The sequence below is a fragment of the Homo sapiens genome, chromosome 17 (assembly GCF_000001405.40).
Source record: "Homo sapiens chromosome 17, GRCh38.p14 Primary Assembly".
Taxonomy (NCBI): domain Eukaryota; kingdom Metazoa; phylum Chordata; class Mammalia; order Primates; family Hominidae; genus Homo; species Homo sapiens.
Genome location: NC_000017.11, coordinates 9,727,585 through 9,740,513, shown reverse-complemented (window position 1 = coordinate 9,740,513; position 12,929 = coordinate 9,727,585). Strand labels below are relative to the sequence as shown.

At 45.5% G+C, this 12,929-nt stretch overlaps 1 protein-coding gene across 7 annotated transcripts in view, besides 2 other annotated features; it reads right to left on the bottom strand.

Annotated features, from left to right (window-relative positions):
• Positions 1 to 10,826: 10,826 nt before the first annotated feature.
• The window catches only part of USP43 (ubiquitin specific peptidase 43), an 84,428-nt gene continuing 82,325 nt past the window's right edge, over positions 10,827 to 12,929 (bottom strand). For all 7 annotated transcript variants that reach the window (XM_017024159.3, XM_047435319.1, NM_153210.5 and 4 more), the window contains one exon: positions 10,827 to 12,560. In XM_017024159.3, the coding sequence (XP_016879648.1) occupies positions 11,524 to 12,560 (1,037 nt within the window). In that variant the 3' untranslated portion in view covers positions 10,827 to 11,523. The remainder of the gene's footprint in view (positions 12,561 to 12,929) is intronic.
• Positions 11,888 to 12,388: an enhancer, noted in NCBI's record as "H3K4me1 hESC enhancer chr17:9631443-9631943 (GRCh37/hg19 assembly coordinates)". NCBI's record gives its function as "activates a minimal SCP1, AML or CMV promoter by ChIP-STARR-seq in primed H9 embryonic stem cells {active_cell/tissue: H9 hESC(primed)}" and the evidence as "EXISTENCE:reporter gene assay evidence [ECO:0000049][PMID:30033119]".
• Positions 12,389 to 12,889: an enhancer, noted in NCBI's record as "H3K4me1 hESC enhancer chr17:9630942-9631442 (GRCh37/hg19 assembly coordinates)". NCBI's record gives its function as "activates a minimal SCP1, AML or CMV promoter by ChIP-STARR-seq in primed H9 embryonic stem cells {active_cell/tissue: H9 hESC(primed)}" and the evidence as "EXISTENCE:reporter gene assay evidence [ECO:0000049][PMID:30033119]".

The following is a 12,929-nucleotide window of genomic DNA, read 5'->3' as shown; positions in this document are numbered from 1 at the left end:
TGCATAGTATTCCGTGATCCAACTGTATTTTATCTCGATTTATATCATTAAGATGTAATGATATAAATTATGAGACTCATTGCTCTTTACTTTTTTCCTGCCCTCTTCATCTTTCATGATATCTGTTCGAATCCTATGGTCGGCCAGGCATGGTGGCTCACGCCTATAATCCCAGCACCTCGGGAGGCCGAGGTAGGTGGATCACCTGAGGTCAGGAGTTTGAGACCAGCCTGGCCAACGTGGTGAAACCCCATGTCTGCTAAAAGTACAAAAATTAGCCAGGCGTGGTGGCAGGCACTTGTAATTCCAGCTACTCAGGAGGCTGAGGCAGAAGAATCGCTTGAACCTGAGAGGCAGAGACTGCAGTGAACCAAGATCGCACCATTGCACTGCAGCCTGGGAGACAACAGCGAGATTCCATCTCAAAAAAAAACAAAACAAAAACAAACAACAACAACAACAACAAAAAACCCCTATGGTCATTTGCTTAAAGTGTTGCCTTCATAGAAAGCAGATTCTGGCCCTCCTACAACCAACTGGATGACCCTGATCACGTTATTAGGTTGAACCCCATGAAACTGCCATTTTGGTAGATCAAAAATAGTCAAATATGATCCAAATGCAGAATATAAACTCTCTGTGTCTCTACCTCTACCCCTGAAAAATGGAGCTACCAGTATTATTTAGGTAATAGGAATGTTTGAAGCATAAATGAGTTCATTTATGTAGAGCCCTTGGAGCAGGTCCTGGCATGTAGTAGTAAATGTTTGTTGGTGATACTAGTGGTGGTGGTGACATTAGTGGTAGTGATACTAATGTACTTTCTGAGGCCTTGCAGAAAAAGGAAATGACTGGATAACCAGCGAGGCCTGCCACCTGTCAATCCCCACCCATGGAGGCTGGAACTAAAGAAAGCAACAGTTCCACAGAAACTTTTTTTTTTTTTGAGACCGAGTCTCACTCTGTTGCCCAGGCTGGAGTGCAGTGGCGCAATCTCGGCTCACCGCAACCTCCACCTCCCGGGTTCAAGTGATTCTCCTGCCTCAGCCTCCCGAATAGCTGGGATTACAGGAGTGTGCCACCACGCCCAGCTAATATTTGTATTTTTAGTAGAGATGGGGTTTCACCATGTTGTCCAGGCTGGTCTCGAACTCCTGACCTCAAGTGATCTGCCTGCCTTGGCCTCCCAAAGTGCTGGGATTACTGGCGTGAGCCACCACACCTGGCCCAGATCATCCCTTAATAATCTTTTCCAAATAAATGATGTTTTATTCTTTGCAAAGTGCAGCCAGTTATTTATTCAGTGTTAACAGTTCACACTGTTGACTAATTTCTTACATCACCACTGCTAGATGGGTATTACTGTCACTTCAACGTAGAGGAAACTCTGGCTCAGTCAGAAGAAGGAACTTGTCAAGGTCACAAACTAGAGGGTAGCAGGGCAGGGTATGAGTCCACGTTTGGCTGATTCCAAAACACATGTTCATCATCCCTTTGCAAATGCAAACTCTTCATCTTTCAGAGATGTTTTCCTAAAAAACCCGGTGAGGTGTCAAATGACAGTATCCTAATTCTAGTGGTGTGCTGGTCTTGTGCTCTCCAAGAAAAAAAAAGTCCTAATTTGTAACGTTTGCTGATTTTATTGTCGTAAATAATTCCGCCATGGCTGATTTCAAGACTCGTGAAGCTCCCGAATCTTTAACAACTGGCTCTCAGGAACTGGTAGGAGCCCACTACAGCTCATCACTGCAGAGTTCCCATTTTACTGATGAACACACCAAGGCCCACAAGCATCCATTTGCTTGCCATAAGGCCATGTAACTAATAGCTAACCCTAGATGGGAACTTAGGACTTTTACTAAAAGACCCTTGAGGGCTGCCACAACTCCCCTCGTAGACACCATGCCAGGTAAGGAAAGAAAAGCGCCACTACTGAAGACAAACCCCAAAATACCTTATTGAAAAGGGGACTGTTCAGCCAGCCGTGGTGACTCATGGCTGTAATCCCAGCACATTGGGAGGCCGAGGCTGGCGGATCGCCTGAGGTCAGGAGTTCGAGAGCAGCCTGGCCAATGCAGTGAAACCCCGTCTATACTAAATATTCAAAAATTAGCTGGGGGTAGTGGCGGGCGCCTGTAGTCCCAGTTATTTGGGCAGCTGAGGCAGGAGAATCACTTGAACCCGGGAGGCAGAGTCTGCAGTGAGCCGAGATTGCGCCGCTGCACTCCAGCCTGGGCTACAGATTGAGACTCCGTCTCAAAAAAAAAGAAGGGTGGGGGCGACATGTTCTTAAAATTTGATCTTACATTTTTTTCAGTATTCTGTCACTAACTTGGGTTCTTCATCCAGAAAATGGACTAAATGGAGGGACCTAGATAAATGAGCAAAGGAAAGAGAACATCAGAAGAGAAGAAGAAAAAGATAAGATGGGCGAAGATGAAGAAATATTAGCCCAGGTGGGAACTAAATGGACTAAGAGAATAATACTTCCAGTGTGTCTCCCACCTCTTCTCTCTGCAGCTCCATCTCACTGTCTTCCGATGAAGACCAGCATTTCCACAGGGTGGGCACATCGTCATACGCAACATTCGAATCTCACATTTCCACCACCAGAGAAGAATATGGAGTCACCATTTCTGGCCCTCAGGACTGAAAACATACTTCTGAATAGCCCATGGGTCAAAAGAGAAATCAAAAGGGAAATCAGAGGGTACTTTGAACTGAATGGAAATGAAAACACAACATGGAATTTGGAGAATTGGGGAAATTTATAACACTAAATGTCTATGTTAGAGAAGAAAAGGGCTGGGTGCAGTGGCTCACGCCTGTAATCCCAGCACTTTGGGAGGCCGAAGTGGGTGGATCACCTGAGGTCAGGAGTTCCAAGACCAGCCTGGCCAACATGGTGAAACCCTGTCTCTATTAAAAAATACAACAACAACAACAACAAAAACAAATCAGCCGGGCGTGGTGGCGAGTGCCTGTAATTCCAGCTACTTAGGAGGCTAAGGCTGGAGAATCACTTGAACCCGGGAGGTAGAAGTTGCAGTGAGCTGAGATCGCGCCACTGCACTCCAGCCTGGGCAACGAGCAAAACTCTGTCTACAAAAAAAGAAAAAAAATGAAAAGAGAAAAGAGATCTCAGATCAGTTACATCAGTGTTCACTAAAAAAAATAGAAAAAGCAAATTAAATCCAAATTAATTAGGAGAAAGGATATAATAGACATAAAAACAGCAATCTCAGAAATGAGATAGAAATGAGAAACCCACCCCCCCACCCCCCACACACACACAATATCAAGGAACCCAAACGCTGGTTCTTGAGAAGATTTTTTTCAATTGATAAACTTCTAGCCAGAGTGATCAGGCAAAAAAGAGGGAAGACACAAGTTACCAATGTCCAGGATGAGAAAGGTAACGTTACTACAGATTAGACAGATTCCCACAGAATAATACTGGGACTTTTTGTTCCAATAAATTGAACAACTTAGATGAAATTTGCAAATTCCTTGAAAGATACAAACTACCAAAAAAAATTGATAAATTGGACTGCTTCAAACTCAAAAACTTTGCTCCTCAGAAGACTATATTAAAATAATCAGAAAGCAAGTCACCGGCTGGGAAAATATGTTTCAAAGATTCTTACGAAACAAGTCACAGGCTGGAAAAATATACTTCAAAGATACTTATTTCAAAGATACTTATGAAAAGGACTTGTATTTAGAGTATGCAAATAAATCTCAAGACTCAGTTTCAGTGAGAAATAAATTTGTAGATTCCATAGGCTGCTGGCTGCTGGTTGAACTGGCAATTTTTCCAGGTCTCTTATATGAAAGGTAAGGAATTGCTTGGTAAAGAGTGGGATATGACCATTGAAATTGGGATATCTGGGAGGATTCAAAAGGCTAGTACTCTGTTAAGTCTCTGGTCTTTTCTAAAATTATCCCAATTTCACTTCCTGTCTGATTAAATTATAGCTCCCTTTTTGGGAAAAGGCTAATCATTTCCCTCATGCCCCATCTTTCATTGTTTCTTCCTTAGTAACCAAAGTCAGAATTCAGCACAGCTTTTAGAATGAAATGAGGCTGGAATGGGAGGGGAGGTGCAGTGAGGGCTATCTAGGAGAAGCATTAGAAATTTTTTTAAATGGGGGCTGGGCACGGTGGCTCATGCCTGTAATCCCGGCACTTTGGGAGGCTGAGGCGGGTGGATCACCTGAGGTCAGGAGCTTGAGAACAGCCTGCCCAACGTGGTGAAACCCCATCAGTACTAAAAATACAAAAACTAGCCTGGCGTGGTGGTGCATACCTGTAGTCCCAGATACTTGGGAGGCTAAGGCACAAGAATTGCTTGAACCCGGGAGGCGGAGGCTGCAGTGAGCCAAGATCATGCCACTGCACTCCAGGCTGGGCGACAGAGCAGGACTCTGTCTCAAAAAAAAAGAAAAGAAAACAGAAATTTCTTAAAATGGGGAAATTTTTTCAGGGGATGAATTTTTTGAGTAGTCAGCCAAGACAGACAAAATGTAATTTGGGATATGACTCAATGTATTAATATGAATACATTCACCTACAGATCTAGTTTGAAAATCAGCCTACTATGATTCTAAGGGCTTGCTGGTCTGGCTAACACAATTCAGACCTAATTGTGGCCATAAAGAAATGAAATCAAAAGACACCAATTAAAAGGCAGGAATTCAAAAGCTTCAGCAGGCAGGGAGGGTGGTGTGGCTTTCCCTTGTGTTCTGCCCCCACACCACTTCTCACATCCCCCAGTGCTTCATCCTTGCCAGGAGTGACAGATAAAATGAAGTAAGCAAAGAGGTCCTTAAAAAGTACTTCATGGGCTGGGCACAGTGGCTCACATCTGTCATCCCAGCACTTTGGGAGGCCAAGGCGGGTGGATTGCTTGAGCCCATGAGTTCAAGACCAGCCTAGGCAACATGGGGAGACCCAGTCTCTACAAATATACCAAAAAATTAACTGGGCACGGTGGTGTGTGCCTGTAGTCCCAGCTACTTGGGAGGTTGAGGTGGGCAGATTGCTTGAGCCCAGGAGGTTGATGTTGCAGTGAGCTATGGTTGCACCACTGCACTCTCTAGCCTGGGTGACAACGGAGCAAGACCCTGTCTCTAAATAAATAAATAAATAAATATATAGCACTTCATGTCTGTACTCAAGTTAAATAGGAATTCTGCTGGATAGGGATGCTGTTCAAATAGGGTCTTGATCTTGGGAGCAACAGGAGAAGCCCAAAGTGGCCAAGCCCAGATCATGGCAATTAACCATTAGAGGTAAGGTGGACAGTCATGGAATTAGATCTCCAGGGATGGTATGACATGCAGAGAATGCTGGCCGTGACTTGGTGCTCCAGAAGTTAAATTCACAGCCAGGCTACTCAGTTCTTTTTTTTTTTTTTTTTTTTGATACAGAGTTTTGCTCTTGTTGCCCAGGCTGGAATGCAATGGAGCCATCTCAGCTCACCACAACCTCTGCCTCCCAAGTTCAAGCGATTCTCCTGCCTTAGCCTCCCAAGTGGCTGGGATTACAGGGATGTGCCACCACGCCCAGCTAATTTTTGTATTTTTAGTGGAGACGGTGTTTCTCCATGTTGAGCAGGCTGGTCTTGAACTCCTGACCTCAGGTGATCCCCCTACCTCGGCCTCCCAAAGTTCTGGGATTACAGGCATGAGTCACCACACCCAGCTGCTACTCAGTTCTTAATTATTTCAAAGCAAAAATGCTCACGCATAGAAAACTAGATATCTAACCTGCGTTGAAGAGTCTTAACTTTTCATCTAATTCCCTGACCTGATTCAGTTCATGAATCCAGACTCCCTTAAATGACAGGATGGCTGGGTACTATCGAGGAAGAATTCTCTGTGACTCCACATCTGCCCCATAAAGCTTTCTCCCAGCCATTCCCAAAAGAAATGACAGCCATTTGCTCGTACTGACACTAAGCCCCAGGAAGGCAGAACACCACTGAGTTTTGTCAGTCTCAACAGGTGCTTATGGTGGCCAGGTGATAAATGGATTCCTAACCTAAGTTTGCATCTTGGCAGGCCCAGTGGAAACGAGGCTCTTTCTTAGGATATTTCAATATTCTGAGTGTTTAGTTGACTGATCTCAGCAAGTAACCGAATGCCCACATTGGTTTCCCCAATGTGGCCATTCCCCAATGCGGCCAAGTTGCATGTGATCCCATTAAATTTCATAATACTTATAGTACCTAAAATTACCTTGGTTATGTTTACTGTTTCTTTGTCTCTTCCAACTAGAATAGAAATTGATTTAGGCCAGGCGCGGTGGCTCACGCCTGTAATCCCAGCACTTTGGGAGGCCGAGGCAAGAGGATCATGAGGTCAGGAGATCGAGACCTTACTGGCCAACACGGTGAAACCCCGTCTCTACTGAAAATACAAAAAAAAAAATTAGCTGGGCGTGGTGGCGGGCACCTGTAGTCCCAGCTACTCGGGAGGCTGAGGCAGGAGAATGGCGTGAACCCGGGAGGCGGAGCTTGCAGTGAGCCGAGATTGTGCCACTGCATTCCAGCCTGAGTGACAGAGTGAGACTCTGTCTCAAAAAAAAAAAAAAAAGAGAGATAGAAATTGCTTTAAAGGCAAAGACCATTTCTCTAATTTACTACTATATTCCCAGAGCCTAATAGTGAACTCTCAAATGTTTATAGAATAAATTATGCTAGGATCAAGCCCATGTCACTGAAGAAATCTTCCCCAATCACTGAAGTGAATCAAAAGCAAAAGTGCACCCTTAGAAAAATCAGCAATCAGGTCACAAAGACTTAAAACCTGCTGTGTCCTGATTCCTATCACATCTCTACCCAGCTCACCCATTTGGTACAAAAGGTTAATGGGACTTAGAGAATAACTGTATCTATCAAAGACTTAATCAAGTAGTGGGACCAGATGTGGTCTCCTTGCTGGAATTAGTAAATACAGCTCCTGGCATTTGAGAATAAGCTATTGATCTGGAAAACGCATCTTTCTCCATGTTGATAAACAGAGAATACCAGAAGCAACTTGGTTTAACTGACAGAGTTAGTAGTACACCTTCAGAGGGGCAGCATGGTTTTTTCCAGTAATTCAGAGAAGGAACTCCAGAGCCAGGATTACCCGGGTTCAAGTCCTGGCTCTGCTACTAACTAGTTGTGTGACCTTTGGCAGATTAATCTCTCTGTGCCTCAGTTTCTTCACCTGTAAAACAGAGATAATAGTACCTGCCTCAAAAGTTTATTATGAATTAAATGAGTTAATATTGTAAAGTGCTTAGAAGAGTGTCTTGCCCACAGTTAAGTACTGTATAAATGCTCATCAGTGGTAATTATTTTTTATTTTATTTTATTATTATTAAAGTTTTAGGGTACATGTGCACAACGTGCAGGTTAGTTACATATGTATACATGTGCCATGCTGGTGTGCCACACCCATTAACTCATCATTTAGCATTAGGTATATCTCCTAATGCTGTCCCTCCCCCCTCCCCCAACCCCACAACAGTCCCCAGAGTGTGATGTTCCCCTTCCTGTGTCCATGTGTTCTCATTGTTCAATTCCCACCTATGAGTGAGAACATGCAGTGTTTGGTTTTTTGTCCTTGCGATAGTTTACTGAGAATGATGATTTCCAATTTCATCCATGTCCCTACAAAGGACATGAGCTCATCATTTTTTATGGCTGCATAGTATTCCATGGTGTATATGTGCCACATTTTCTTAATCCAGTCTATCATTGTTGGACATTTGGGTTGGTTCCAGGTCTTTGCTATTGTGAATAGTGCCGCAGTAAACATACATGTGCATGTGTCTTTATAGCGCACATCATTATTAACTGCGATCTCTGCAGCTCTAGGATGAAATCAAGTCAGCACATGCTTGATTAGCTCACCATTCCTCAGGACATCATGCTGGTGCTGCCTCACTGCAGGTGATATCCTACTGATAAGATGTAGCTAGAACTGTAATTATATACTCCTATGGGCTATGGCCTCTCCTCCTCTAGACTTCCTGGCTTTCTTCTCTGATCCTGTGGGCCCTTGGAGCTTTTGGCGCTACCTGTATGACTGCCCAGCCCGAGTCTGGACTTGCAAGACCTTCCTTCCACTAGTGGAAAAGAGCAGGAGTGGAGGATAAAGGAGGGGGCCTCAAAACCTGGGCGACTCTTTAGGAGTCAGGAATGGGCTGTGACCATCAGACCAGTGACCAAGTGTAGGAGATCGGTCAGGGTGATGGGAAAAATGGTAGAAAGATGCAAACCTTCTTGGAAGGCCGAGAGGTTTTACAAAGCTTCAGAAAAGGATTTGGCTGAAAGCAGCCAGATTCTCTTATCTGGTGCCTGAAAGCTTAGGTTAGATAACAAGGGGATGTAAAGAAACTGATCTAGGTAAGTCCATTTACTTAGGCCTTGGAACCTGGCCTTTTAAAAATTTTATTATTATTCTTTAAGTTCTAGGGTACATGTGCACAGTGTGCAGGTTTGTTACATAGGTATACATGTGCCATGTTGGTTTGCTGCACCCGTCATTTACATTAGGTATTTCTCCTAACGCTATCCCTCTTCCAGGCCCCCAACCCCCAACAGGTCCCAGTGTGTGATATTCTCCTCCCTGTGTCCATGTATTCTCATTGTTCAACTCCCACTTATGAGTGAGAACTTGCAGTGTTTGGTTTTCTGTCACAAGGAACCTGGCCTTTAGTCATCCGCACAGGACTGCTCTCTCTGGGGAGGGCGACCATGCTGATTACCCACAAGTGTGTTGACTCAAAGCCTTTGTCATTAAACCTGTGCTGAATAAATGCCCACAGGGCCGGCTTGTTGAGGCCACAGCTGCTGACTCTTCACAGCACCCTCCTCGGGGTCTGTAAGTGGCCCATCCCCTAGCCTGCTCTTTCACTGGATACCTGTGTCTGAGTGCCTTCCTTCATCTGTCATTCAGCCAGGGTCTGCAGGTCGGACCTGGCAACCAAGTCTCAGACAGCAGGAACAGATCCAGGCAGAGGATCTGAGCTTCCAGAGGAAGAATGGGAGGCCCCTTTGGCCATCCTGAGCTAGCTCCATCTCTGGCTATGCTCCTCTCTGGCTCAGTGGCTTTCAACTCTTCTCTAACACCCAGGATCTTTGTGGTAGGAAAAAAGCATCCAATGGTTCTCTTATGCTTTCTCCTCAAGGACCACTTGACCAGAAGCCTGCAGCCTATCATCGGATGCATGGCCAAGGTTGGAACCATGACCCTATTGCCTCCATTCCAGGCAGAAATTGGACTCAACCATTTCCCATGCTCTGTTCTCACAGCCTTCTACTGGGTCCTTCTAGAGGGAGAAGCGACCTCAGGGAAGGGGATGCAAGGGTGCCTCAGGCATCCTTGTTGCCGACCCCAGATGGATATATATCCACCAGGGGTCAAGTGTAATTGCCTCTTCCTGAACCTCCACAGTTCAGAGCCTGGAGTGAATGTGTTACAGAGAACACTGCTAAGGCCTGGGACCCTCTCATGATATCCCAACAACCCAAGAGTATTCTAAAGGTTGAGTCCTTAGAAGAGAGAAGCCAGGGAGGTGCATGTCTGAGTTCCAACCCAATCTCTTGGAGGAGGAAGAAAGGGAGACTGAGCTTAGGAAGAGCATGGAAACTAAATGTGACAAATTCCTCTGAAGAGTCAACAGAGGAGAAAGAACCAGATAAAGCAGGAAGACTCCTAGACTCCTATTTACCCAAGAGGACTTGGACAACCATGTCTTCCACAGTGCCTACGCGTACATCAGTGTAAGACTTGAAGAGAACATGGACTTCTTTTGCAATGCAAACACACAGGTTTACTGGTATACATATTGTCCTCTGGGGTCAGGTGGCTGGGTCTTCTTCCTTTCTCTGTTATCTCAGTTCTACCTTCTAACTGTTGCTCTGATCAAAGGCAAGTTGTCTTTTTCACTGGGGTAAAAAATGGACTCCATTCCTCGTTTTTTTTTTTTTTTTTTTTGAGATGGAATCCAGTCTGTCGCCCAGGCTGGAGTGCAATGGCTCGATCTCGGCTTGCTGCAACCTCCGCCTCCTGGGTTCAAGCAATTCTGCTGCCTCAGCCTCCCGAGTAGCTGAGATTACAGGTGCACACCACCACGTCCAGCTAATTTTTGTTATTTTTAGTAGAGCAGGGTTTCGCCATGTTGGCCAGGCTGGTCTCAAACTCCTGACCTCAGGTGATCTGCCTTCCTCCGCCTGCCAAAGTGCTAGGATTACAGGCATGAGCCACCATGCCCAGCCCATTCTCCTTCTTAAGAGAAAAAAAATGTAGCAGAGACATGTCAATGAGTCATGCTATATGTATGAAGGAAGACTTAATTCTTGGGATCAGGTGTCTTTTTTTTTTTCTTTTTTTTTTTTGAGAACAAATGTTTCCCGTCAAAAAAGGAAGTATTTGCAGAAGAAGGACTGTTTAAGTACAGGTGACCTCAACTGTTGAGCCCCAGGCCTGGGGTCAGGCTTAGCAGCTTCTAAGTAAGAAATGATAGGATATTTGTAAGAGTCGCTACTGAAGAGTGTGCAGAGCTTTAGGAAACGGGACAGTCAACTAAGAGTCTGTCAGGCAGATGTGGAACTCACGTCTTTTCAAGTACAAGCCCTCCGGAGAATGGCCTGAGGAGGCTTCCACTTCTTTAGAAAACAGCAAGTCATTGGAACGAAAAGCACTTTTAGATTTTAGAAAGAACTCAAGTAACTACTTTCTGATAGCAATAGCAACGAACCAAGTTTACTCAGCAGAAATGAAACAAGATCATTTATCAGACTTGAATAATTCAGACAGCCATGCGTGTTTCATGGACAGGATTTTATTAAAATTGTACATAGATCTCATATTTAAATTAAAAAATGGACTTTTTTTCTAGTATCAAAATAGTTATTTTTAAAATACCTTGAAAAACTTTAATACAATTTTTAATATATTAAATATTCACCTGAACTCTCAGCCATTTATCTCCCATCTCTCTTTGCTAGAATCTTGCCTTACCATCACTATCATTCTTTTGTTTTTTTTTTCTTTTTGGCATCTTTAATGCTTATCCCAGAAAAGCATTAAAAATAAAATATTTTTCTTTAAGTCCACAATTTAAAAAAAAAAAAGAAAGAAAAAGGAAAAGCCATTGACAGTATTTGACATGACATTGAAGATTCTTATTAAACCAGCCTCATCTTGTTTGCCCACATCCAAAACTCTTTAGTAAATATCAGTTCTTGCCCTGAAACTGGTAATACTGACCCAATAGCATCCTCTAGTGGCCAAACTGTAGCAAAGCACCCAATGATGCAGGAAGGTTTTCGACCTTGGGTTATATGGACCTTGGGTGTTGGAAGTCTAGATATGGAGACCCCCCACCACAAAAAAAAAAAAATTTTTTTTTAGAGATTACAAGACAACGGGTTTCCTGGAAACCCATTCTCAACATGAGCTGCCTACAGTTGCTTGGCAAAGTCCCAAGAATGCCAGCGTCACACAATACTGACACGCTCCATCAAAAGCTGGACTCCGGTAAGGTTTTCTTTCGACCTAAAGAAAGAGTGTGATATTTGACTCTCTGAAAGGTGCCATAAGAAGCCTGCTCCCCTGGAACAGTCCTTTGTGACATGCCCAGTGCACTGCCTCTCGGGGCCCTGCTGGCTTTACGAGGGAGGCGGAGAGAGCTGGGGGCTGACCAGACATCCCTCTCGAGCCGGCTGCCCAGGCCCCTGGCCAGGCCCTCTGGGATCCTGAGGGCAGGAGGTGAGCCTGGAGCCTGCCCGTCCATGGCAGGGCTCAGCCCGCCACTCACCAGGGAGACGGGGGGCACCTGTGGAGAGACCTCTGCCCTCTCATTCCTCCTGTTCTCCTTCTTCCGAAACACGGACCTCAGAAGGGTGAGTGTCCCCTGCAGGGGTCTGTCTAGCTCAGAGGTGCCTCGGCGACTGTCTTTGCTGTTTCCAGAGAATCCCATATAGGGGGAGGGTGGGCTGCTTTTGCTTCCCATCTGGAAGCTCTCCTTCCAGTTCATGGCCTTCTGGCCCTCCGGTCGAGCTGGTTTCTCATGCTCCACTGAAGGCATCACAGTGAGAGGCAGGTCAAACTTTCTGGGAAGCTTGATGTCCTGCCCTGCATTTTCCTTGAGTTTCCTTGCTGTGTTTGGACCATCTGAGTTTCCAGGGGCCAGACAGTGGTTGGGTTGAGCCGAGGGACAGGGCACCCCGGCTGGACCTCTTTCAATGGCCCGCCCACCATCTTCGCTGTTAGCAGGAAGGGCGACGTTGGACCTCGGCGATGCTGACTTCTCATCCTCACCCGCAGTGCCCGTCAACAGCGACACAATGGACTGGCTCGTGGACCGAGGTCTTCGTCTGGATTCCAAGTACTCCACCAACTCGACGGAGGCACCTGGTGGTTTCTCCTTGGATCCAAAGGACCACCGCAGAGGCATGGTCTTGAATGGTCCCTGCTTGGCTCGGGAAGTGGTGGGTGCCTTCATGCTAATGCTTCTGCCTTTCACGCCCCGTACCAAACGCCTGGGCTCCAACCCTCCTGAAAGAGACAGAGAGACTGTCAGTGTACAAGCCACCCTACAGCTGAAATGCCAGTCATCTAACGTTCACTGAGCACCTCTGATGTGGGAGGCACTGTGCTGGGCACTGGAGACACAGCAGTGAAGAAGCCACATAGGGTTCCTGCCTTTGGGGAACAGCAACGGTTTCACCCACTCTTCCTCAATATCCACTTACACGTTTGAAGCCACAGGGTAAGCCAGTGCCAAAGAAGGTATCTACATGCCGGGCAGCACAGACACCTGGCAAAGCTCAGTCTCACGGGCATCTAGCCTTAAGAATGAACATCAGTTTCATCTATCTTTAAATATTCCTATGAAACGGAATGCCCAGCAAAAGTTCCTGCTTT